This window comes from Homo sapiens, chromosome 2, assembly GCF_000001405.40.
Source record: "Homo sapiens chromosome 2, GRCh38.p14 Primary Assembly".
Lineage (NCBI taxonomy): Eukaryota > Metazoa > Chordata > Mammalia > Primates > Hominidae > Homo > Homo sapiens.
The window spans coordinates 233,336,093-233,361,935 of NC_000002.12; the positions used below are offsets into that span (position 1 = coordinate 233,336,093).

Sequence of the window (25,843 nt, forward strand, 5' to 3'; positions counted from 1 at the left end):
GGGAGAGAGAATATCAGGGAAACTGAGAGCCTAGATCAATGTATTCAAGGGCGTAGGGATCGTAAGATGAACAATGATGGCTCACCACACTGTGGGAATGTTTCATGGTGTGTGGACTAGTTTCTAAACATGTACGACTCGGCCGGCCATGATGGCTCACACCTGTAATCCCAGTACTTTAGGAGGCTGAGGCGGGTGGATCACCTAAGGTCAGGAGTTGGAGGCCATCCTGGCCAACATGGTGAAACCCTGTCTCTACTGAAAATACAAAAATTAGCCAGGTGTGGTGGTGGGTGCCTGTAATCTCAGCTACTCGAGAGGCTGAGACAGGAGAATCGCTTGAACCCGGGAGGCGGAGGTTGTGGTGAGTCGAGATCGTGCCATTGCACTCCAGCCTGGTGACAGAGCAAGACTCCATCTCAGAAAAAAAAAAAAACCAACCAACAAAACAAAAAAATCATTTATGACTCTCCACACCTCCATGAGGAAGGTATATTTATATGCATTTTATGGGTAAGGAAATTGAGGTTGAGCCAGAATGAAAGACTTATCCAAGGTCACTGAATCAGTTAATAGCAGAGCAAAGTCCACTCCACAGCAAATCTCCCAGCCCAGGAAGATGCCAGGGGTTCTGACTTGCAGGGTGTTCTCAGGCACGTGGCAGAGCATGTTCAGTTCAGCAGCTGCTTGGCCCCATTCAGCGCAAGGTAGAGTTAATCTCAGCTGGGAGGAGTAGCTCACACCTGTAATCCCAGCACTTTAGAAGGCCAGAGTGGGCGAATCGCTTGAGCCCAGGAGTTTGAGACCAGCCTGGGCAACATGGCGAAAACCCATATCCACAAAAAATTAAAACATTAGCTGGGCATGGTGGCACGTGCCTGTAGTCCCAGCTATTTGAGAGGCTGAGATGACAGGATAGCTTGAGCCCAGGAGGTCGAGGCTACAGTGACCTATGATCATGCCATTGCATTCCAGCCTAGGTGATAAAATGAGACCCTGTCTCAAAAAAAAAAAAAAGTCAATCCCAGCAAAGAGGGGGATCTCAAGCTTGTACCCCTTTTTTCCCTTTGGAGGTATCCTCTCTTCACCAGGTACTTGGCCATACTCCGCAAGTCCAGATAAAGATATTCTGTCCTCTTTTAAAAATTATTTTTATTTTTTTTTGAGATAAGGTCTCAGTCTGTCACCCAGGCTGGAGTGCAGTAGCGCGTTCTTGGCTCACTGCAACCTCCACCTCCCAAGTTCAAGGGATTCTCCTGGCTCAGCCTCCTGAGTAGCTGGGATTAGAGGCTCCCACCACCACGCCTGGCTAATTTTGTACTTTCAATAGAGATGGGGTTTCGCCATGTTGTCCAGGCTGGTCTTGAATTTCCTGAACTCAAGCGATCTGCCCGCCTCCGTCTCCCAAAGTGCTGGGATTAAAGGTGTGAGCCACGACGTCTGGCTATTCTGTCCTCTTTTAAATGAGCTCCAGACGCCAGTGAGCTGAAGGAGCTCTCTGGGGAGCACTGTGGTCCTGGAAACACGTGCTTGAGACACCTCCCCTCAGAGGTTCCCGAGCTGACGTCTTCTTCCAGGCCCAGCACCTGCTGGCCGCCGCCCCAACTCTTTTTCCAGAGCTGTTCCATCCTTCCCTGCCTTCTGCCTGTAGCCTTCAGGTTTCTTGGGCTTTTTTTCTATCATTATTTACATGATTTTTGTTAGCATTTCATGATTTTTTTCATATCTTAATTCCTGTTATTGGACATCCTGGAGTACTCATGTCCTCCGCGTTGGATCCCACGCGATAAGCATCTGTGATGAAATGCCCGGCACAGTGCCTGCCAGATAGTAGAACTTCAGTACGTATTAGTGGGATCTGGAATGACATTTCTGTCAAGGAACGTCACATTGCACTGTCTTTGGGGCACATCTGAGGGTCTCGCACATCCTGCTCATTCACTTAAACATTGACAGCTCTCACTTGGTGCCAGGTCTGATGCTGGGTGCTGGGGACACACAGCTGGATATCTTGGAAGGCAGGAGAGAAGGAGGGGGCATTCTGGTGCAGGGTTGTGTTGGCAAGACTGGCGCGGGGGGCGCTGGGACACAGCTGGGGGTGAAGTAGCAAAGGCAGGCCAGGGCAGCTCACAGGCTGCTTCTGAGGCTGAACCTGCAGATGGCCACAGAGCTCAGAGAAGGGGCCTGGCACGTGGGAGATGAGTTACTGAGATAATCCAGGCAGGCAAAGCCTGCTGGAGGACTTGGGGACTTGCAGTTTTGGCAAGTGGTAGGAGGGAGTTGCTGAGGAGGATGACCGGGGGATGTGCATCTATAGAGGTCAAGCACAGAGAAGGGGGTTGCATGCTCTGCCCTCTGGGAACTTCTAGAGGAGAAGACACAGGAATTCCTCCAGTGCGTGCAAGGAGTCCCCATACCCACTCCCCAAGTACATGAACTTCTAGGACTTTGGAAGCTCAGTGAGTTCACCAGTCCCTGGAGAACCTCCATGACGGCATGCCTGCCTCGAATGGAAAGGCTGCCCATCTGCTCTTCACCCTCCTCTGCTCTCCATCATTCTCCTTTTCCCTTCTGTTTGGGCAGCATTAAGGAGGGCATAGACCGGACCGTCCTGGGAATCCTGGTGTCTTACCAGATCAAGGTGAAGCTCACAGTGTCAGGGTAAGTGTCCCGGCACCAACCCTCGGGCTGCTCTGTCCTGGTCTTAGATGGTCTGAACTTTTCCTTTCCTGAATGACTGGGAGACAGAAAGCAAGGAAAGGCCCATAGCTTCTACCAAGGATTACCAAGTAGAGCTTGGGAGAGATTCTGTTTGTCTAGTACCATGCTTCTGTCTGATAAAATGTCAGGTGGGAAAGGGTGGAGAAGCAGACTCTGAAATGTGTGCATTCTTAGCGCCACTTTGCAAAAATACGTGTGCATATGTGCATGTGGTAGAAGCTGATGTGCAAGAATGAGGATTAGTCAAATGTTATCCTTCAGAAAAGAATAACTGCTGTGAAAGAACTCTCAGTAAATCTTCATGTTTTTGCATCTTAGAAGGTATCCATCCATAAAGTGGGGACTTTCCCCTCCCCTCTCACACATGTAATCACAGGGCACAGGAGTCTTCTTTTCATACAAGAGTGCCAATATCTCAGAGTTTTAAGGGAACAGGTTTCCACTTTCATTTTCATGTGAAGCCAGTTTCTTCCATTTGTTTAATCTTACCAAAAGGGAAAAACTTGAATTCTCATTTTCGTTTCAAATTCCATTGCCAAAGGCTCTGGCCTTTTACCTGGATGAGCCTTGGGTAGTTCTGCCATCAAAGGCAAGTCTGTGCCTAGGTTTCATACTTCTAAGTAGTAAAGAATTCCCTTGAGGAAAATAAGCGTTTAAAAAGAGTTTCCCAAATTTCTAACAAAGTAGAACATGGGTCTATTTTGCATTTTTCGTTAGCATAGTGTTTTTTTTTTTTTTTTTTTCACTGTGGATAGTGCATAAAAGGATCTAAAAACAGGGTGGAGTTTCTTTTAGCAGTCAAGGAAAGCAACCAGCAGGTATTTCACAATGACCTCTTGTGACTTATCTTGAATGTTAGGGCTTGACTTTTTTTTTTTGAGATGTAATCTCTCACTCTGGAGTGCAGTGGCATGACCTCGGCTCACTGTAACCTCCACCTCCCAGGTTCAAGTGATTCTCCTGCCTCAGCTTCTGAGTAGCTGGGATTACAGGTGCCCACCACCATGCCTGGCTAATTTTTGTATTTTTAGTAGAGACGGGGTTTCACCATGTTAGCCAGGCTGGTCTCGAACTTCTGACCTCAAGTGATCTGCCCACCTCAGCCTCCCAAAGTGCTGGATTACAGGTGTGAGCCACCGTGCCCAGCCAACTTTTTTTTTTGAGACGGAGTCTTATTCTGTCACCCAGGCTGGAGTACAGTGGCATGATCTCAGCTCACTGCAACCTCCACCTCCCAGGTTCAAGCAATTCCCCTGCCTCAGCCTCCCGAGTAGCTAAGATTACAGGCGCCTGCCACCATGCCCGGCTAATTTTTGTATTTTTAGTAGAGATGGGGTTTTACCACGTTGGTCAGGCTGGTCTGGAACTCATGACCTCAAGTGATCCGCCCACCTCGGCCTCCCAAAGTGCTGGGATTACAGGCATGATCCCCCATGCCCGGCCTTTTTAAACTAATCATCTTGAGAAAGAGATGAAGTCACAGGTAATGAAGTTGAACATTAAGGGATGGGAAGACCCTGGATGTTGTGAGTTCGGGTGCAAGGGCCATGAGAGCTGGGCTGTGTCCTGCCTCTGAATCATGGGAAAGGGTCGTGTTACCACTGTGACAGTTAACGACAGGCGTTTGTTTGTGTTTTCTAGCTTTCTGGGAGAGCTCACCTCCAGGTAAGCCTGTTCACCTTCCTTGTTTGATTGTTTCTCAAGATATCAAAGGCAGCAAACTTGGGGCTCCAAAACGGTTTCTGATGAAAGCTGCTTTCTGGACAGTTGTGCTCAGAGGTGTTAGGAATGATGCTTTGCCTTCGGATGCATCACAGAACCGTGGCTCATAGGCGTTTCTTTGGGACCAGATTTCTTTGGGACCACAGCTAGACCTATGCCTGGGTAAGGACACACACATACACACCCAGAAAACTGGCACACTCCATGCAGCCAGCTTGTGTGTGTGTGTGTGTGTTTGTGTGCGGTAAAATACACATAACATAAATTTTACCATTATATTATTTATTTTATTTTTTGAGATGTAGTCTCACTCTGTGGCCCAGCCTGGAGTGCAGTGACGTGATCTCGGCTCACCGTGACCTCCACTTCCTGGGTTCAGGCAATCCTCCCGCCTCAGCCTCCTGAGTAGCTGAGATTACAAGCGTGTGCCACAACACCTGGCTAATTTTTGTATTTTTAGTAGAGACGGGGTTTCCCCATGTTGGCCAGGCTGGTCTCGAACTCCTGACCTCCAGTGATGATCCTGCCTTGGCCTCCCAAAGTGCTGGGATTATAGATATGAGCCACCACACCTGGCAAATTTTACCATTTTAACCGTTTTGTTTTATTTTATTTTATTTTATTTTGAGACAGAGTCTTGCTCTGTTGCCCAGGCTCGAGTGCAGTGGCATGATCTTGGCTCAGTGCAACCTCTGCCTCCTTGGTTCAAGCAATTCTCCTGCCTCAGCATCCTGAGTAGCTGGGATTACAGGTGCACGCCACTATGCCCGACTAAGAGCTGAGATGATGCAGTACATAACCTCAATGCCTGTCTCAAATGTTTCTTAACTTGCTGCTGCTTCGTGCATAATTTAAAAGGCAGCTGTCACTATTTGCAATACCAAAAGGTAGAAACAACCCAAATGTCCACCAACAGATGAATGGGATAAACAAAATGTGGTATATCCATGCAATGGAATATTACTGAGCCATAAAAAGGAATGGAGTACTAGTACATGCTACAACATGGATAAACCTTATACTAATAACACTACGCTAAGTGAAAGAAACCAATAACAAAAGGCCACATATTGTATGAATCCATTTACACACAATATCCAGAACAGGCAAATCTATAGAGATAGAGAACAGATTAGTGGTTATGCCAGGGACTATAGGGAGGGAAAATGAGAGTGACTGGTTAAGGGGGATGAGATTTTCTTTTTGGGTAATAAAGATGTTCTAGAACTAGATAGTGGTGATGGTTGCATAACAGCGTAAATGTATTTAATGCCACCGAATTGTGCACTTTAAAATGATGAAGCTGGGCAGGGTGGCTCATGCCTATAATCCTAGCACTTTGAGAGGCTGAGGCAGGTGGATCACTTGAGATCAGGAGTTCAAGACCAGCCTGGGCAACATGGTGAAACCCCATCTCTACTTTTTAAAAATACAAAAATTAGCCAGGCCATGGTGGCATGCATTTGTAGTCCCAGCTACTCGGGAGGCTGAGATAGGAGAATTGCATGAACCCAGGAGGTGGAGGTTGCAGTGAGCCGAGATTGCGCCACTGCACTCCAGCCTGGGCGACAGAGCGAGACTCCATCTCAAAAAAAAAAAAAAAAAGTTCCCACTGCATTGTCTTTCAGCTTGGGCCTGGGGATCTTTTGTGACTCTCCGCAGCCATAGGTCTTTGCTGTGTTACTTACAATTGTGTGTATGGGTGTTCACACCAATCTTCATTCTTTTTTTCTAGTGAAGTCGCCACTGAGGTCCCATTCCGCCTCATGCACCCTCAGCCTGAGGACCCAGGTCAGTTATGTCCTTTTTTAGCTTTCTTTAATTATTTGCTACTTGCAGATTTATTGTTGATGTATTTCTAGTCTTTCTTGACCGCATCTCAGAGCATGGGAGTGGCCAGGTGTAAGAGATTCCATGTGATCTACAAGGTGAATAGTCTGGGGGGAAGGGAGGGCCCATCTGTTCAGCGCTGAGCCGGGTAGATTATCCACCTTCAGCTGGAGTCTGCAAGATGTAGCATCCTTGCTCTTGGACAGGGACAATCTCGTGAGGTTTTATCATGAATGATTTAAGAGCAGAAGCTCTGCTGTCAACAGACCTGGATTTAGAATTAAAGATGATTTAGGTAAAAACTTAATTTTAGAGCACGAGGATTTTGCATTTCATTTGGAAACAAAAGGCCTCATGTTTCATTTGAAAGCATTAACAGACATTTAAAAGAAGATAATTTTTTTTTTTTTTTGAGACGGAGTCTCACTCTGTCACCCAGTCTGGAGTGCAGTGGTGTGATCAAGCTTACTACAGCCTCAACCTCCTGGGCTCAACCCACCCTCCTACCTCAGCTTCTGAAGTAGCTGGAACTACAGGCATACCACCACCCTTAGCTAATGTTTTTGATTTTTAGTAGAGATGAGGTCTTGCCATGTTGCTCAGGCTAGTCTTGAACTCCTGAGCTCAAGTGATCTTTCTGCCTCATCCTCCCAAAGTGCTGGGGTTACAGGCATGAGCCACTGCACCTGGCTGAAGATAACTGTTTTTTTTTGGGGTTTTTTTTTTTTTTTTTTTTTTCTGAGATGGAGTCTCTGTCACCCAGCTGGAGTGCAGTGGCACAACCTCGGCTCACTGCAACCTCTGCCTCCCGGGTTCAAGTGATTCTCGTGCCTCAGCCTCCTGAATAGCTGGGATTACAGGCGCCTGCCACCCCACCTGGCTAATTTTTGTATTTGTAGTAGAGACGGGGTTTCGCCATGTCGGCCAGGCTAGTTTTGAACTCCTGACCTCAGGTGATCCACCCGCCTCAGCGTCCCAAAGTGCTGGGATTACAGGCGTGAGTCACGGCGCCCGGCCTGAAGATAACTATTTTTGACAGTGGCAGTTATGGTAAGAATACAGAAAATACTAGAAAAGAGGGTCAGGCTGGGTTCCTGACACCTCAGCTCATTTGAATTATAAATCTACTGGCTCTTGTATGGATGCGAAATGATGCAATAGTTGTATGACTCTGAAAACATATAAAAACCACTAGACTGTCGACTGTGAAAAGGTAAATTGTATGATATATGAATTTGATCTCAATCATTCTCTTTCTAAAAAGGTAAATGAAGCAGCAAAAATAATATAGGTGAAATCTCAGAAATTCTGAAGAAACATTCTCTGCATCGAGGCAGCTTAGTTGACGGGAAAGAAAAACAGATCTGTCTAAATGAGAACTCTCCGTAGGTATAGGAATAAGGGATATTTTAAGTAAAAGTGGTATAAACAAGCAGGGTTTATTTTTCTCATACTTTACAAATAGCTTTTCTATATTGGTAGTGAAATGCCGTTTAAACATTAGAATGAGCCCCCACTATTCATTTTAGGTTTTGTCTCAACAGTACTTTGTTTCAAAATAGCTCTTCCAAATACTTTGGATTCAGATCCTCAATGAACTTTTCCAAAACTGTCCCTTGGAGAAAAATGTAGTCCAGCTATATGTTTTCAGTTCATTTATGCTTGTGTCATTAAAATGTTACTTTTTCATGGTGTGGGATTAAGATGCTTTCTGGTTCCTTTCAAGGACATTAAAAAGATAGTCACTTGAGGAGATGTCATAGTTTATGTTGGGTTGTTTTCTGGAACTTTGAGTAGACTTTATGCCTTAATTTTTTTTTTTTGAGACATAGTCTTATTCTGTCACCCAGGCTGGAGTGCAGTGGCATGATCTCGGTTCACTGCAACCTCCGCCTCCCGAGTTCAAGTGATTCTCCTGTCTCAACCTCCCAAGTAGCTGGGATTACTGGCACGCGCCAGCACGCCTGGCTAATTTTTGTATTTTTAGTAGAGATGGGTTTTCACCATGTTGGCCAGGCTGGTCTCAAACTCCTGGCCTCAGGTGATCTGCCCGCCTCAGCCCTCCAAAGTGCTGGGATTACAGGCGTGAGCCACCGTGCCCGGCCTGACTTAATTTTTTTAAATTCTTTTCCATATACAACTTTCACGTTCCAGTCATTATGGCCTTAACAGTGAACATATCACAATGTCAGGATGAAACAATGATCTTTTGTACTGTGAGATTTCTGGGAGCAAAGGTTAAGACAAATCACCCCATGGTTACAAAATTCTGATTTCTAGAGATATGAGATAGATATGAGATAGATGAGATTTCTAGAGATAAATGTCATCTCTCCTGTCTTCTCTGCCTAGTTCTCGGCTCCCTGAGTCTAGGCTGGTAGGATTCTAAGCAGAGAAAGCATAAGCTATATGTAGTTAAGCCCTGCTGGAGCCTGGGGACCAAGTAATTTGTGTGTAATAAGTGCTGTGACATGCTACCAAGTTTTTATTGTCCCCTGTCAAGGGCATCTTTACTGAATCCGAAGATGCTGATTTGATTCTTCCTTGTTGTCTACCTCTGCAAGGCTGATGGTCCCGCTTAGTGTAATTTCTTCGCTGAGCACTGTGGGCCGCAGGGTATTTCTTGCTCAGGGGATGTTTTGACAAGCTAGCCTCTCTAGGGCCCCTGTACGTAGCGACCCTCATAGACACTCCCTCCCAGTGCTGGCTTCCAGGTGGGCACCAGAGGCGAGAGTAGGGGCTCACCATCAAATCGCCGCTGTGCTCCCCAAAACTAGGTGGGCAGAAAGCTAAAAAAGTACAAAAACCATTCAAATTAATAGCAGTTAGTCTGGGGATACAACACATGTGAAAACATAACTCAACAACAACAAAATCAATATGTTAACAGAAATTGAAAACTTTGCGGCTGGGGGTTGGTCCTCAAGCTTTAATGCACACTCTAACCCTGGGGTGCTGGTGAACGTCAAGTCCCAGGTCTCAGGCCTCTGAAGCCTGACAGATGGAGGTGCCAGGGTGCACATGCTCACGGCACCCTGGCGACCCTGACCTCAATGGGGTCCCGAGGACATGGAAGGAGAAATACTTTGAAAGGCGAAGCAACTGGCTGGGCAGGGAGGCCAAGGCGGGCGGAACACTTGAGGTCAGGAGTTCGAGACCAGCCTGGCCAACACGGTGACACCCCGTCTCTACTAAAAATACAAAAATTAGCCAGGCATGGTGGTGGGTGCCTGTAATCCCAGCTACTTGGGAGGTTAAGCCAGGAGAATCACTTGAACCTGGGAGACGGAGGTTGCAGTGAGCCGAGATTGTGCCACTTCACTCCAGCCTGGGCAACAGAGCAAGATGCCATCTCAAATAAATAAATAAGAAAGGAGAAGCGACATCAGAGGGGGCAAGGCTGATCAGGGAAAGCATCCTAGAGTTGAGACTGGGGGGGTTTCATGTGAGGAGGTGAAGGCTGTGGCACATTGTAAAGGAAGCAGTGATTTAAAATGCAAGGAGAGGCCGGGCGCAGTGGCTCACGCCTGTAATCCCAGCACTTGGGAGGCTGAGGCTGGCAGATCACTTGAGGTCAGGAGTTTGAGACCAGCCTGGCCAACATAGTTGAAACCCCTTCTCTACTACAGATACAAAAATTAGCCAGGCATAATGGCGCATGCCTGTAATCCCAGCTACTTGGGAGCCTGAGACACGAGAAACTCTTGAAACCAGGAGGCAAAGGTTGCAGTGAGCAGAGATTGTGGCACTGCATTCCAGCCTGGGTGACAGAGAGAGACAGTCTCAAATAAAATAAAATAATAAAATAAAATATAAAATAAATAAAATGCAAGGAGAAAAGCTGTTCCAGTGGGAAAGGCAGGGAGGCAGGAATTACACGCAGTGATCATGAACTGCATGTATCTAGGCCTTATCTCTCAAATTGTAAAGTCACCTAAAAGGTAGACATTTTCTAGGTACAGCTATGATATAGAATTTAGACTAACAAATGTCTCTCTCTCCCTCTTCCCTGCCTCCCTTTTATTCCATGCTTACAGCTAAGGAAAGGTGAGTGAGCCTCTTGAATGTGGCCCTGATTTGTCCTATGCTCTGGGACCTTCTCCTCCAGCACAAAACCCTCTTTGAGTCTTTGCACATATCCCAAGCTCTCCTGCCGGCTCAGGAGGCACATCCGCTACTTCCCGTCTGCTCCCTAGTGCTTACGGCACGCACGCACCATTACACTGGGTGTGCTTGCTCACTCTGCGCGTGCCTTTGTTTTCTCCCATTGGTGCTAGTTAAAGGAATTTTAAACGAAGCCTTGAGGAAAATGGCGTGCCCCCATGTTCTATCATGGGGAAAACCTTGATCAGTTCCTTCGTTGCAAAAAGATCAAGGATCTTGTTTCAGTTTCAGCTTCAAAGGGCGTGCAATGATCAAAATGTTGTTTGTTTTATTTTAGTTATCAGGATGCAAATTTAGTTTTTGAGGAGTTTGCTCGCCATAATCTGAAAGATGCAGGAGAAGCTGAGGAGGGGAAGAGAGACAAGAATGACGTTGATGAGTGAAGATGTCGGCTCAGGATGCCGGAAAATGACCTGTAGTTACCAGTGCAACGAGCAAAGCCCCACAGTTTAGTCCTTTGGAGTTATGCTGCGTATGAAAGGATGAGTCTTCTTCCGAGAAATAAAGCTTGTTTGTTCTCCCCTGGGTCATGAGTTGGTTGATTTGTTGGGGAGGCTGAGTTGATGACATGACACAAGCTGCCACCATTAGGGTCCCTGGAGTGGGAGGGTTGGGGAGAGGGAGGCCAGCCTCCCACGGAAGGGCTCACCACTCCCATGAGGGAGAGAAGGCGTCTGGAAATCAATGTGCTCACCAGGTGGGGCCCTCGGTGTGTCCAGGGGCTTTCCTAGGAGTCCCAGTCTGAGCTGTTTCTCTGGAAACAGTGCCTTCCCGTCTGTCCGTCTGTCCTTCCTTCCTTCCTTCCTTTATTCCTCCCTCCCTCCCTTCCTTCCTTCGTTTCGCTCTTGTTGCCCAGGCTGGAGTGCTGTGGCGTGATCTCAGCTCACTGCAAGCTCCGCCTCCCGGGTTCACGCCATTCTCCTGCCTCGGCCTCCTGAGTAGCTGGGATTACAGGCGTGTGCCACCATGCCCGCCTAATTTTTTGTATTTTTATTAGAGACAGGGTTTCACCATGTTAGCCAGGCTGGTCTCAAACTGCTGACCTCAGGTGATCCACCCACCTTAGCCTCCCAAAGTGCTGGGATTACAGGCGTGAGCCACTGCGCCTGGCCACCAGTGTATGTTTCTAATTACCTGACCAGTCCCAACTTCCAGGCCCCTAAAGAGCCTCCTAAGTTAAATAGGGCAGAGAACATCTGTGGACAAAAATACTCTTGGTTAATGATTCAACTTTTGGGTCCAGGTGTCTGTTTGAGCTTTGGGTTGTTGGTAAAGTTCTATTCAATGCAAGAAGCAAAATCAGATTTGGTTAAATTAAGGTGGGGAGAAGGAATGTAGTGGGAGGACCCCGGTGTGATCAGAGAACTGAAGGACAAACCTGAGCTGCCACACCTGGGGTAAGCAGGAATCAGAGAAGCTTCAGGGGTCAGGGACCCACTCTCCAGGGCGGCTCTTCATGCAGCTCAGCACCATACGTTCCCAGCTCTGCGTCTCTTGGTCCCAGTGGGCAGTTATTGGGAAGGAGAATCCAACTGGCTCAGCTTTGGCTGGGAGGATCAACACCCCGTGGTCAGCGATGGCAGAGCCCAGCCCTGGAGATGGAGAGTCCCAGAAAAGGGGGTTGATTGTGAGTCACATGGGCTTACTTAGAGCGTGCTTCACTGAGACTGGGCGTGAGAGGCATAGGGGAGAGCACTCTGAGTGTCAGGGAGGAAGGTGAACTGCAGGTGGAGGAGGGATAATAGAGGTGATACCAGGGCCTTTCCTTTGTGGGGTCCCTTCCTGCCCTGAGGTACCCACCGGGCCTGCTGCTGATGGCACAGATACTGAACAGGCTCATGGCGGCCAAGGAGAGGATGGAGATGCATAGGCTCTGGTCCATCTCTGGTCCATGCTTTAAGGGAGCAGGGTAAAGGGGGGTTGGAGATTCCTCCACAGTTCAACCCACTCACAGAAGGCAGAGGGTGAGTGGGAGGGGTTCTAGATGGGGAGTACACGTGGATCAGGCTTCTGGGATGGAACATGGCGACAGAGGGCTGGCCAGGGTATGGGTTCCATACACATGAAGGTTCCCAGCATCTGGGGTTGTTCAGAAGGATTCCAGCTGTTCGGGTCCTGGAGATTGGGATTTAGATGAGGAGGCTCCACTTGGGAAGCTTGGATGGGATCCCAGACAAAGCGAGGTGTGGACCCGTGTGCTGGCTCACGCATCCTGGCATTGGGAGGAGGATTTATAATACACTAGACTACAGGTGGAAGATTGGTCCTTCAGGCTGCGAGTTAGCAGGATCAGACACAGTCCCTCGTTCTTTTTCTCTCTATGCTAAGGTAATGGTGCACGACCATTTCAACCCATGCTCCCCTCAGGGCACGCAGACAAGGGATGGCCAGGGTGGCACACTCCTCTGAGGATTCCCAAAGCTGTTCCCCATTGCACTGAGCCCTTCCCCTGTCCTCTGCCACAGCACACAGGCTGCTGTGTTTAGCTCCTGCTAGAGCTCTTGGGCTAGCCCAGGGCCTGGGATTCTGCCCTGTGGTGCCTGGTGAGAGGACCAGCCCGTTGGTTCCTGCATTGCTTGACCCCAGGACATCCTAAGTCAGGGTGGACGTTAATAAGCCCGACCTTTGGAACTACGTGGGTGAGAGAGCTGGAGGGAAGGGCTGGAAGACCAATCCCTGGAGAGCAGAGGTCAGCACAGCCCTTACCCTCCTAGTTATTTTGGTGCCAAAATGTCTCGATACGCCCTCCAGGTGCTGGCTTGTTTATGGCCTGCAGCTGGCCACGCTGGGGAGGGAGTTGGGGGAGGAAGCGAGCAGCCAGCTGCCCTGAGCAGAAAGTGGAAGCTTGGCTCAGCTCAGCCTGCACATGTGTGGGGCTGTCTACTGGCATGTAGTGTCCCTTGGTATCAGGAGGCAGGAAGTCTACGTGCAGGTTGAATGTGTGGCCCAGAGTTTTTGGGACAGATGCAGTGCAAGAAACGGGGTACAGAGCAGTTGAAGGTGCTGCATGGAGAAAGTTCTGCAACCAGCAATGAAGGGCTGGAGAAGGGGGATGGATCCCTGCTATTGATGGAGTGCCTACCTTGTGCCAAGTACTTCACATCTGACATGTAACCATTTCAGTAGTACTTATAAATCAGTAGCATCATTCATATTTCTTAGATGAGGAAATTGCGGTTCAGAAAGGTTATGTACCTTACACATAGGTCACACAGCTAGTGAGAGTCAAGGCTTGAATGCTGGTGTCCCTGAGTCTATAACTAGACCTTTGCCCACTGTATGGTGCTGAATGGAAGTAGGAGAGTTTGGTGGAGTGGGGGGAGGGAGATTAGCATTTAGGATTCAACAACAACTGCCCTTGGCCCTTGCTATTTTTTTTTTCCATTGAAATTTTCAGGCTGGGCGAGGTGGCTCATGCCTGTAATCCCAGGACTTTGGGAGGCCGAGGCGGGCGGATCATGAGGTCAGGAGTTCAAGACCAGCCTGGCCAACATGGAGAAACCCCGTTTCTACTAAAAATACAAAAAATTAGCTGGGCATAGTGACAGGTGCCTGTAATCGCAGCTACTCAGGAGGCTGAGGCAGGAGAATCGCTGGAACCCAAGAGGTGGAGGTTGTAGTGAGCCCAGACTGTGCCATTGCATTCCAGCCTGGGCAACAGAGCGAGACTCCATCTCAAAAAGAAAAAAAAAAAGAAATTTTCATTGAGAGACTTGCACATTCACATGCAGTTGTAAGGGGTAATACGGAGAGACCCCAGGAACGCTTTACCCAACTTCCTCCAGTGGCAACATCATGTAAAGCTACAGTACAATATCCCAGCGGGGTATCGACGTGGGTCCAGTCTGCTCATCTGACTGAGATCTCCACAACTGGATTTGTACTAGTGTGTGTATTCAGTTCTCTGCAATTTTGTCACATGTGTGGTTAATTCCTTTTTAGGGTGTCTGTTTTCCTACTCCTTTAACATTTAAAAAACCTTTCTTCCTTCCAGTTTCATTTCACAGGACTGAGTCGCATTTACTGATCTTTGAGGAGTAGGGCAGGTGCGGGGTGGGAGTTGGGGACATTTGGAAATGTGTATGGTGGTTTTTGGTTTTCACATGCTTGGGGACCAGAAGCTCTATGTCACATGCAGTGGAGAAATGTGCTGCTCCAAATGACAATCATGACCCTAGTTCAGGGTAAAAATTGGATGATTCCCATGTTTTCAAGTTTCCCTTTTATATTCTCCAATGTGAAGTGGTTCTTTCTGACAGGAGTTGCGCCTCTTCACTGACGTGTCACAAAGAAGAATTAGGTTGGACGTGAAGTGTGTTATTACTGCCATCTTGATATGCCCTCAAGGTGGGGTAGACTCAGGGAGCAGGCTGTCGTTAGAGATGATTCATAGTGTGACTCATTCAATAAAGAGGCACCGGAGGGAATGTGCTCTTCCAGGCCACCGCTTTGGGGGAGTTGATGTCTCAGCCCTTCCTGAGATCTCCAGGGGAACAGCGCTGTGCGCTCACCAGGAGAACAAAAAAGCTGCTTCATCATCAAAGAACATTTATGCCAGTTTTCTTTGCTTTAAGAATATAATTCTTACCAAGCCTAATCCTCTTTTTTTAAAATACACTTTTTATTTTGAGTAGTTTTAGATCTACAGAAAAGTTGCAAAGATGTTATACTGAGGTCCCCCACACCCAAAACCCCCTATTATTAACCCTTACATGAGTAGGGTACATTTGCCACACTGAGTGACTCAAATGTTGTTTCCAGTAAAATATACTTATTTCTTTCCAACTTTTATTTTAGGTCCAGGGGGTACATGTGCAGGTTTTTTACATGGGTAAATTGCATGTCATGGCGGTTTGGTGTACAGATAGATACTTTTGTCACCCAAGTAATCAGCACAATAATCCCCGATAGGTAGTTCTTCAATCCTCACCCTCCTCCTACCCGGGAATCAATATTGATGCATTATTATTAAACTAAAGCCCCATACTTAATTCTGATGTCCTCAGCTTTTACCTAATGTCCTTTTTCTGTTCTGGGATCCCATCTAGGAACCCACGTGACGTTTAGTCATCATGTCTCCTTGGCTCCTCTTGTCTGTGACAATCTCAGTACTTTCTGGTAATTGCAGATTTCCTCCTCTCCAGCCACGGTTTCTGCTTCTTAACCGTCACGTTCATGCCCTTGCCTCCTTGACTCTAAAATGATGAGTTCTGGGGCCTGGATGTCCCCTGAGCTCCTAACAGGTGTAGGCAACAGCATTTATTATTATTATTATTATTATTATTATTTTTGAGACGGAGTCTCGCTCTGTTGCCCAGGCTGGAGTGCAGTGACACAATCTCGGCTCACTGCAACCTCTGTCTCCGGGGTTCAAGTGATTCTCCTGCCTCAGCCTCCCGAGTAGCTGGAACTACAAGCGCCCGCCACCACGCCAGGCTAATTTTTTGTATTTTTAGTAGAGACGTGGTTTCACCGTGTTAGCCAGGATGGTCTCGATCTCCTGACCTCGTGATCCGCCTGCCTCAGCCTCCCAAAGTGCTGGGATTACAGGCGTGAGCCACCGCGCCCGGCCGGCAACAGCATTTTAATGGCCTCCCTATTTCTAGTCTTCTCTCCTATGGATCATTCTCTGCCCAGACACATGAGTTCCTCTGCTTTCCCAAACCCCCTTGCCAGCTCCAGTGCCCACGGGACTGAAGTCCTTGCCTCAGAGCAGGGCCGGGAGGCTACTCTGCATCCTGGCGCCGCTGCTCACCTCCCTGCCTCCCGCACCCGCCTTGCTACCGGCTTCACCAAAATCCCTCGTCACCCGCTCTGCTCACCTGGTAGGGGTAGTCTCCCCGTTTTTGCGTTTTCCTGGGAAACTCCCTTCATATCTGACCTCTCCATTCCAATCCCAAACCCTGCTCAGGTCACCCGGCTCCCCCGCGGAATGAAGGAATGAACTGTTTCTTCCCCTGTGCGTCCCCGCCCCTCCTCCGCCTTGCACACTCCTCCAGGGTTTTGCCTCTGTGTATCACTCCACATGTAGTTAATTGATAGAAAAGTCCCAACCCTGTGGGGAGGCTGGAGCCCTTTGTGCCTGCATGAGTTCCCTAGGGCTGCCAGAGCACTGCACCATAGGCCGGGCGGCTTCCACCACAGGAATTGACGCTCTCGGTTCTGGTGGCTGGAAGTGCGAGATCACGGTGTCGGCAGGGGGAGTTCCATCGGAGGCCTTTCTCCTTGGCTTGTAGATGCCATCTTCTCCCTGTGTCTTCACATGGGCTGCCCTCTGTGTGTGTCTGTGTCCTCATCTCCTCTTTTTATGAGGACGCCAGTCATACCGGATTAGGGATCACCCCTGTGACCTCATTTTAACTTCATTACCTTTTTAAAAACCTTAACTCCAAATGCAGTCACATGCTGAGGTACTGGGGGTTAGGACTTCAACATATGAATTACGGGAGGACACAGTTCAGCATGCGACTGTGCTGCAGAACTTTCTGGGGGGACGGGGGAAGTGTTTTATATTTGTGCTATCCAGCGTGGCAGCTGCTAAGCCACATGCGGCTACTGAGTCCCTGAAATGTGGCTCCTGTGGCTGAGGAACGGAATGCTGAATTCTAACTAATTGAAATTTAAGTAGCCACATGTGGCTAGTGGCTATAGTACCCTGGGGCACCATGGGGCCTTCGGCCTGTCCCGGACTGTTCCTGCCTTAGGCCTTGTCCTCCTCTGTCCTGGCCGTGAGCCCATGCCCCTGGCCGTGTCCCCATGCCAGATGCCACTCTGCAGCCCCAGGTCACTGCCCAGGGCGGCGCGGCCAGCGAATGCCTATTGGCAGGCGAGGTCTCTAGCGGCAGCCCTTTGACAGGGAGAGGGCACACCTGGGCAGTCCCTTACTGATTTGCCCCTCAGAGCAGGGCAGACAGATGGACAGCATTTCCTCTGGGTGGCACCAAGCCCTGCTCCACCTGGATGGCACCAAAAACTTAGCTGATCTCATCTCCAGCTTCGCTTCCTCCTCTTCTGCCCAGAGCAGCGCTGGACCCCACCCGCCCACCATCCAGCAGCCCCCCTGGGAAACATGGGACTCGTTCTGGTCACCTCTGTCTCCCTCCAGTCGCTGGTCACTCCCCACCTGGATCTCAGTCCACGTCTCTATCTCTCAGCCCCTCGGTAATCCAGGGCGTCCACCTGCCCTGATAACTTCAAAGCCCGGATCACAGGCCCCAGCGTGGTGACCCAGCCCCGCCCAGGGTTAAATCCCTCAAGGGCTTCCTGCTGCCTTCCATCCCCTTATCTGGTTTCCAAAGCCCGCTTCGACCTGCCCGCCCCGAGGCTCATATCTTAATGCCATTTTCCTTGCTCTAAGCACCAGCTTCCCTTTCTTCCCCCGTCTTCGCCCAACACTCGTTCTTTCTTGCCTCCAGGCCTTTGCACAAATCTGGTCTCTGCCTAGAACATGGTTCCCTCTCTAGTCACAACTCCTGCTCACATTTTCCATCTCTCCTTAAGAACCGTTTTCTCCAGGAAGCCTTCCCAGATGGAGCGGTGCATCCCAGCTCTGGCGTCCCGAGGCCCGTCCCAGTACCGGGGTCTCTTTCCAGCACGCGCGCGCGCATTCGAGCTCGCCCCAAACTCGGCCACACAAGGCTGGGCAGGACAGACACAGCCCCAGCCTGCCTGAGGTTACCTACATTCTGATGCGGAAGAGTAGAGATGTTTTAAGAAGTGAATATAGAAACAAGAACACAAACGGCGTTCCAGAAATAACACACAGAAGCCACGGCCCGGAGAGGTGGGCGGGGGGCCCGGGACGCTTCAGGTGGGGGCGGGGAGGGGCCGCGCGGCGCCGTCTGCAGCTGCGCGCATGGCCGGCAGGGGGCGCGGCGGGGAGAGGCGGGAGGCCGCCCCCACCGCCCCCGGCCCGGCCCGCCCTCGGCCCCGCCCCTCCCGCCGGCCCCGCCCCGCCCCCGCCCGCGGTGCGCGCGCTGGCCCGGCAGCATGGCGGCGGCGGCGGGCGCCCCTCCGCCGGGTCCCCCGCAACCGCCTCCGCCGCCGCCGCCCGAGGAGTCGTCCGACAGCGAGCCCGAGGCGGAGCCCGGCTCCCCACAGAAGCTCATCCGCAAGGTGTCCACGTCGGGTCAGATCCGACAGAAGGTGAGCCCGCGGCGCGGCGGCCCGGGCGCGCGCCCCTCACGCCGCGGCAGCCCCGGCCGAGGCCCGTGGCCCTGCCCGAGCGGCCGCCCAGGCCCGGCTCGGCCCGGCCCGGGGTCCCGCGGGCGTCACCGCCCCTGTCGAGCGTGCCCCGCCGCTGTAACGGGCCGGCGCCCCGGGCGGAGCGCGCGGCCCCCGACGGACGGCGGGCGGCTGTGGGGCCGGGCGGGGGGCGCGCAGGTGGGCGCCCCGGGCGCCGCGCGCTGGGCGGGGGGCGCGCGCCGAGTTGGGCCGCGAGGACCCGGAGGAAACTGAGGCCTAGATGCAGGGGACTGCGCTCGTGCCACCGAGCGGGTCCCACGCGGGGGCTCCCGGCTGCGCCCCGCGGGCGTCCGCGGTCCCCAAACCCCGGTTCTGCACGTTTCTCAGGAGCGGTCGGGTGGTGTCCCGCGAGTGCCCTGCAGACTTCCCTGTGGTGCCCTCAGAAGTCCGCTCGGACCCGGGTGCGAGGGATCACCCCTTCACCCCTTCATCCCAAAAGGGAAGGAAGGGATGCGCGTTCAGTGACCGTCTCTCTCAGCAAAGCCGGGACCGCGCACCCGCTTGGCACCCAACTCTCCACGGAGAACTCCTGACGCTAAATGTTAGATAAAGACGCACGTCCTTTTTGCAGGAGGAAAGTTGCACCGTTTGTTTTCCCATTGTGCTTCCTATTGAAAACAGCTTACGGTTTTTGCTCCAGGTGAGCCCGCCCGGTTAGAACACTGCTTCCTCAGGCAGGTGGCTGGACAGGTGGCTGCGAGCAGGCTGGGTCCCTGGGGCAGCTCTGGCAGATCCGGTTGGCACGGACTTTCTCCTCCTGCTGCAGTGCGCTTTTCCTCCGGGGCGGATTAGGTTCAGCCGTTCCCTTCACCGTGGGAGCCTTCTCTTCTGTCAGCCTTTGATACCTGCGATGGGGGAACCTGAGGTCCTAACATGTTACAAACAGGTTTGTTGTGAAGTGCTCCAGTTATTCAGCAAATAGGTACCGAACACCTGCTTTGTTCCGGGTATAACAGTAGCAGTAGTGATGATAATGATAGCAATAGCAAATAACAATTCTTTAATAAGCCTTCTATGTGCCAGGCACTTTCTTGGGTTAGCTTTACAGCACTTGACATGGTTAGTTTATTAGTACTGGTGAGAACCCAATAAGTTGGATGCTATCATCTCCGTCTTTTGGAATTGGAATAGAAATAGAATCAAGGTTAAATGACTTGCCCAGGGTGTCACAGGTCGTAAATGTGGATGTGTGTTGGAACCATGGTCAGGACCGTAAGATGGAAGGCAGTTTCTACACCTAGGGATTCTCAGTCTAGTTGGGAGATGGACGCCTGTGCACCTGACATGACAACATTGTAAGTGCCGCGGAAACTCGGGGCAGAGACCTGCCCTGGGGAGGCAGGAGTGGTTTCCTTTAAGGTGAGATCTTGAGGGATAAAGAATTCACCAGGCTAAGTGGGTAAGAAATGGCCTTCTACATATTTGAACCTTGCGTCTAGAGCTTTAGGCACAACTGCGAAATGATCAGAAGTTGGGCCAGAGGTGGATCACGTTGATTAGACTTATTAGTTGGAAGGGTTGGTTAGGGCTGAATTTCGAAGGGGTGGTCCTTTGAGGGGTTTGCTTTTTGGCCTTGGGCAAGAGGTGGCCACAGAGGATTGTTCAAAGTATGGGGGTGATGGATCAGATGTGCTTTTGGGAAGATCTCCACATAGCCCTAAATGATACTGATAGGAGTTGCTTTCTCCTGTTGCCCAGGCAAGGTACTGACCAGTGTGGGGTAGATCATGTGATTTACAAGGTTGATTAAGATCAAGATTGTGTTGAGAGAGATTTGATTCCTGGGAGATTCCAGTGTTTAGAATTTTGTTGGTTAGGAGGTGTTTTTGCTTTCCTTCTTTTTTCTCCTAAAACAATAGCTGCTATACCAGCTGTTCTGGTTGAGGAGGAGTGATGGGTAGACTGTTAAAAATACACCCCGAGGACTTAGAGTTTCTGAATACAGTCACATCTGCTGTACAGATAGCTTAAGGCTGATTTTTCTTCTGAGTTGTTAAGAGATTGTCAGAATGTGGGAATGCGAGGTTGACTGTATGTAATAGCTCCATTTTTTTTTTTTCCAGCAGATAAGCCATTCACAAAATTCCTCTGGTATCTATGGTACATAATAGAAACATCAAAAATGGTATGGGGTAGCAGTCTGAGTCTAAAAAGAAAAACAGAACTCACCTTAAGTATTTGGAACAGAAGGAATGTAATCTAGGGGAGTGGTCACACAGGTGATGTGAGAACTGAGAATGCAGGCTGCAATGAGGCAAGCCGGAGATGAGGCAACAAGCAGGAAACTGCTGCCACCCCTAAGTTGGAGGGTGAAGGAAGGAGATGGCATTTCAGACTCCAGGGACAGCTGTCACCCACCAAAAACTGGGGTCACAAGGGGTCCATCTGGCAGTGGCTGGAGCCTTGCAAGGGCACAGCTGCTGCTGCGGATGTACTGTTCCCCTCCTGCCTGGGAACCCTGGCCTTGCTGGGGTCACCTCCTCCACAACTTGGACTGGAGCAGAAGGACAAAGAATGGATCTGAGGACAAGCTGGCCCAGGACCAGAACTGTATGTATGTCAGGCTTTTAAAATATTAGTCTAGTGCAAGTCAGAGCTGTCTTAATGAAGAGAAAAACAAAAGAGAATGTCTTAGGGCAGTGCTCCTCAAATTTTAATGTGCAGACACATCTCCTAGGGATCCTGTTAAAATGATGATTATGGTTGAGTAGGTCTAGGGTGGGTGGGGCCTTAGAATGTGCATTTCTTTTTCTTTCTTTCTTTCTTTTTTTTTTTTTTTTTTGAGACAAGGTCTCACTTTGTCACCCAGGCTGGAGTGCAGTGGTGCGATCTCAGCTACGGCAACCTTTGCCTCCTGGGCTTAAGTGATTTTCCTGCCTCAGCCTCCCAAGTAGCTGGGACTACAGGCAAATGCCACCATGCTGGCTAATTTTTGTATTTTGTTGTAGAGATGGAGTTTCCCCATGTTCCCCAGGCTGGTCTCAAACTCCTGAGCTCAAGTAATACACCCACCTCAGCCTCCCAAAGTGCTGGGATTATAAGCTTGAGCCAATGCACCTGGCAGAATATGCATTTCTAACAAGCTCCCAGAAGATGCTGATGCTGCTGGTCCATGGACCAGACTTTGAAAAACAAGACCTTATGGCACACATGTAAAGAGAAGCCTCTCCAAACTTCAAATAATTCTTCAGGTTATAGATCTTTAGCATATTGAAAATTTGATGTGTGCAGATTTGTGATGGCCATTTATCAGTTTAGCATTTCATGCATGTCTGATTTTTTAATATGTTCGAGCTCTTTAGAGTTGAAGCTGTCCACAGCAAAGACATTACTTCATTTGTATTTCCTGACTACAGTACACAGTAATGACTCTGTAGAACTGCATAGCTAGAATGGAAAGAAAGAAAATGGAGCTAACACTCCGACCAGCACATTCACCAGCACATTATAAGGTATTTTGAAATTTCAGTGAAGAACCGTGTAATTCTGCAAAGCTATCAGTTAAAAGAGTTTAATTTATTTAAAAGTTTCTAGAAAGTTAACATTTTTTGGATATGAGCATGAAAGTGCTTGGATTCCTGATTTTAAATTTAAACAAAGCATTTTTTCCATTGTGAAATGAAGACTAGTAAAAATTAGGTAAAGGGTTTAAGTTGTAAAAAACTTAAAAAAATGCACCGCAGTTTTATGAGATATAATTCACATGGGATACAGTTCAGTGGTTGTTAGTATATTCGCTGTTTTGCAACCATCACCACAGTCAATTTTAGAACATTTTCATCACCCCGTTTCCTCTCAACTCCCTCAACCATAGGCAACAAGAATCTACTTTCTGTCTCTGTGTTTGCTGATTCTGGTCATTTTACATAAATGGAATCATACAATATGTGGTCTGGCTTCTTTAACTTAGCATAATATTTTTAAGGTTCATCCATGTCATGGCATGTATCGGTACTTCATTTCTTTCTGTTGCTGGGTAATATTCCATTCTACAGGCACACTGTATTTTATTTATCCATTTATCAGTTGATGGACATTTGGGTTATTTCTACTTTTTGGCTATTCTGGATAATGCTGCTGTGAACATTCATGCACATGTTTTTGTGTGGACATAGGTTTTCATTTATCTTGGCTATACACCTAGGAGTGGAAGTGCTGGGCCATATGGTAATACTACCGGACTATTTTCCAGCTAAAAAGCTGCCGTAACATTTTACATTCCCACCAGCTGTGTATGAGGAGGGTTCCAATTTTTCCACATCCTTGTCAGTAACTGTTATTATCTCTCTTTTGATACTAGCCATCCTAGTAGGGATGAAGTAATGTAAAAGGTTTTTAATGCCATTTTATTGTCGGATTTCAAAGTCTAAACTTTGGTGTCAGATGAAGTCACTTCAGACCCTGCGCTTCTAGTTATGAAGCATGCGATTGTGGACAGGGTGTCTAAACCTCCCTTAAGACGTGGTTTCCTCATCTGTAAACATGGAAAATATTAGTTCTTGGGTTGGTTGTAGTGAAAGTAAATGTTAACTCTGTGTTCCTGAGTCTCAGTTTCCATGTCTGTAAAATAGAAATAACAGTTGTTATATCCATAAAATAGGAATGGGGATGTTAACTCATAGAATTAAATGGGATAATTTGTGTAGAACACCTAACATAGTGGCTGATGTATAGTAAATGATCACTAAATGGTTGCTTTTGGTTATTTTTTGTCTTTCTGATTTTTTTTTTTTTTTATCCCAGATAGGAATCATTTCCCTGATTCCATTTTTCTCCAGCTCAGGCTGGTCTGAGTCTCCATCTCTCGGCTCCAGAAGAGCAAATACAAACAAATCTGGCTGAAAATTAACAAAGACCATTTTTTAAAGAAATCGTTAATTTATTGAGTACTAGTGGGAATACCATGGGCTAGGTATTACATTTTGTATTTCACTGGTTCAGTTTAACAGCAAATATTTGAGATCTTAACATTGTTAACTGTTGTGCGAGGCACCAGGGGTATCTTATTGAGTAACAACAAAAATTTTTAGAGATGATAGTCTAGAAGACATTAATAAAACAATCACACAGTTAATATGAAGTTGTGATGGGGACGGGTGCTGATGAGGAGAGGGCCAGAATACTTTGAGAGGACATCATAGGTGAATTTGACCTGATATCAGGGAGGTCTAGGAGGGCTTCTTGAGGCAGTGACTGGCTGGGTCTGGAAGGTGAGTAGGGAGCAGTGCCTTCTGCTTCTGGCAGTGGTGAGCTGAGTGACTGCAGCGCCACTCTTCCAAGCACAGTCTGCTAATAAGATGATGCTGAATTTCTGGACTAGGATCTGGGGTGGCTGAAGATCTGTGGAAGTGAGTGTGGTATTTGGGGCTGCTTTTGACCTTGGAATCTGTAGTGGCGTCTGTAGTGGATTTGGCATCTCTACCAAATTTGGTCCACCTAGAACTTCAGGATGCCCACATAATAAGATATTAGTTAAATATCTTTAAAAAAATTTTTTTTCTTTTTTTCTGAGACAGGGTCTTGCTCGGTCGTCCAGGCTGGAGTGCAGTGGCATACTGCAGTCTCTGGCTGGGCTCAGGCAATCCTCCTGCCTCAGCCACCTGAGTAGCTGGGACTCCAGATGCATTCCATGATGCCTGGCTAATTTAAAAACACATTTTTATGGAGACGAGGGTCTCACTATGTTGCCCATGCTTGGGGTCTCAAACTCCTGGGCTCAAGCGATCCTCCCCCTTTGGCTTCCCAAAGTGCTAGAATTACAGACATGAGCTACTGTGCCTGGCCAAAATTTTTTATTTTGAGATAGGGTCTTGCTATATTCCCCAGGCTGGTCTCAAACTCCTGGGCTCAAGTGATCCTCCTGCTTCAGGCTTCTGAGTAGCTGGGAGCGTAGGCTCAAGCCACTGTGCCTGGCTAATTAAAGATTTTGAGAGTAAATCATCGTGAACTTAGGAGAAACTCTAAATCCAGTGTTGGTTTCTTTATAAGAGGAAGGGGAGGGAGATTTGGACAGAAAGACATGTTGGGAAAAAGGTTATGGGAAAATAGAGCCGGAGATTAGAGTTCGTTGATGCAAACCAAGGAATGCCTGGGGCCACCAGAAGCTGGAAGAGATAACAGATGGAATCTCCCCTAGAGCCTTTAGAGGGAGTGCGGCCTTCTGATCCCTTGATCTCCGACTTCCAGCCCCCAGAGCAGTGAGACAGTCAAGTTTTTTTTTTTTTTTTTTTTTTCCAAGTTTTGTTTTAAGCCTTGAAGTTTTATGGCAGCCCTAGGGCAGCCCTGGGGAAAGAACACTGGGCCCTGAACAAAACATGGGAGCCAAGAGGCTGAGCCCTGTGAGACTGTCTGAGTGCCTTAGCAGGGCTGAGGTGCCAGGTTCTGCCAAAGGGCAACAGTCCTGGGTGACACCCTCCCCTCACAATTTGGATTGGGATCCAAAGAAGCCACTTCCAAGGAATGCGCAGGAGCCAGAAGTATTGGAAGGACTGCAGCCCTGCTTCAAATCACCTCAGTCCTCTGAAATTAAAGTAATCCCAGTGTACTAGTGTCTCTAGATTCCCAACAGAAGCAAACTTTAATCCTCTCTAGAGGGAGATATCTCCCTCTAATCCTCCCAGTTATCAATGGAGGCCTCTAATGACTTTCACGAGTCTGTTTGTACGTTCATGATTGTGCATACAGTAAAAAAATAGACATCAAGGGAGGCGAGGCACTTGAGCTAAAACCAGTCGAAACTACAGGCTGTAGACAGACCCACAGGGCTTCCAGACTCCAGACCCAGACTTTATAACAACTGTGCTCGTTGTGTTGGAGGAGACACGAGATCAGATGGAGAGTTTTGGCAGAGAACTAGAAACTATGGAAAAGAACCAGATGAAAATTCTAGTCCACACTGGCCAGATGGCTCACGCCTATAATCTCAGCACTTTTGGACTGAGGCAGGTGGATCATTGGAGGTCACGAGTTTGAGACCAGCCTGGCCAACATGGCAAGATCCCGCCTCTACTAAAGATACTAGACATTTTTTTTTTCTTTTAAGACGGAGTCTCACTCTTGTCACCCAGGCTGTAGTGCAGTGGCATGATCTCAGCTCACTACAACCTTTGCCTCCTGGGTTCAAGCAATTCTCCTGCCTCAGCCCCCCGAGTAGCTAGGATTA

The 25,843-nt window shown here is 48.7% G+C and overlaps 2 protein-coding genes across 15 annotated transcripts in view, besides 4 other annotated features; both read left to right on the top strand.

The window, feature by feature from the left end:
* SAG (S-antigen visual arrestin) overlaps nucleotides 1–10,963 on the top strand; it is a 39,240-nt gene extending 28,277 nt beyond the window's left edge. For 4 of the 7 annotated variants that reach the window (NM_000541.5, XM_011511593.4, XM_011511596.2 and 1 more), the window contains 5 exons: nucleotides 2,584–2,661; nucleotides 4,363–4,386; nucleotides 6,179–6,234; nucleotides 10,311–10,320; nucleotides 10,715–10,963. In NM_000541.5, coding sequence (NP_000532.2) covers nucleotides 2,584–2,661; nucleotides 4,363–4,386; nucleotides 6,179–6,234; nucleotides 10,311–10,320; nucleotides 10,715–10,820 — 274 coding nt within the window. In that variant the 3' untranslated portion in view covers nucleotides 10,821–10,963. Of the gene's footprint in view, nucleotides 1–2,583; nucleotides 2,662–4,362; nucleotides 4,387–6,178; nucleotides 6,235–7,537; nucleotides 8,105–10,310; nucleotides 10,321–10,714 lie in introns of those variants that run through there. The other 3 variants (XR_001738882.2, XM_017004641.2, XM_017004642.2) reach the window with 3 other exon arrangements.
* Nucleotides 13,409–13,508: an enhancer, noted in NCBI's record as "active region_17339". NCBI's record gives its function as "activates an Ori minimal core promoter by ATAC-STARR-seq in GM12878 lymphoblastoid cells {active_cell/tissue: GM12878}" and the evidence as "EXISTENCE:reporter gene assay evidence [ECO:0000049][PMID:35858748]".
* Nucleotides 17,852–17,911: an enhancer, noted in NCBI's record as "active region_17340". NCBI's record gives its function as "activates an Ori minimal core promoter by ATAC-STARR-seq in GM12878 lymphoblastoid cells {active_cell/tissue: GM12878}" and the evidence as "EXISTENCE:reporter gene assay evidence [ECO:0000049][PMID:35858748]".
* Nucleotides 18,052–18,101: an enhancer, noted in NCBI's record as "active region_17341". NCBI's record gives its function as "activates an Ori minimal core promoter by ATAC-STARR-seq in GM12878 lymphoblastoid cells {active_cell/tissue: GM12878}" and the evidence as "EXISTENCE:reporter gene assay evidence [ECO:0000049][PMID:35858748]".
* Nucleotides 18,352–18,591: a silencer, noted in NCBI's record as "silent region_12470". NCBI's record gives its function as "represses an Ori minimal core promoter by ATAC-STARR-seq in GM12878 lymphoblastoid cells {active_cell/tissue: GM12878}" and the evidence as "EXISTENCE:reporter gene assay evidence [ECO:0000049][PMID:35858748]".
* Nucleotides 18,402–25,843, top strand: part of DGKD (diacylglycerol kinase delta) — a 117,605-nt gene continuing 110,163 nt past the window's right edge. For 5 of the 8 annotated variants that reach the window (XM_011512028.4, XM_011512029.4, XM_011512033.4 and 2 more), the window contains exon 1: nucleotides 21,009–21,231. In XM_011512028.4, the coding sequence (XP_011510330.2) occupies nucleotides 21,196–21,231 (36 nt within the window). In that variant the 5' untranslated portion in view covers nucleotides 21,009–21,195. Of the gene's footprint in view, nucleotides 18,583–19,037; nucleotides 19,568–21,008; nucleotides 21,232–25,843 lie in introns of those variants that run through there. The other 3 variants (NM_152879.3, XM_047446097.1, XM_017005138.3) reach the window with 2 other exon arrangements.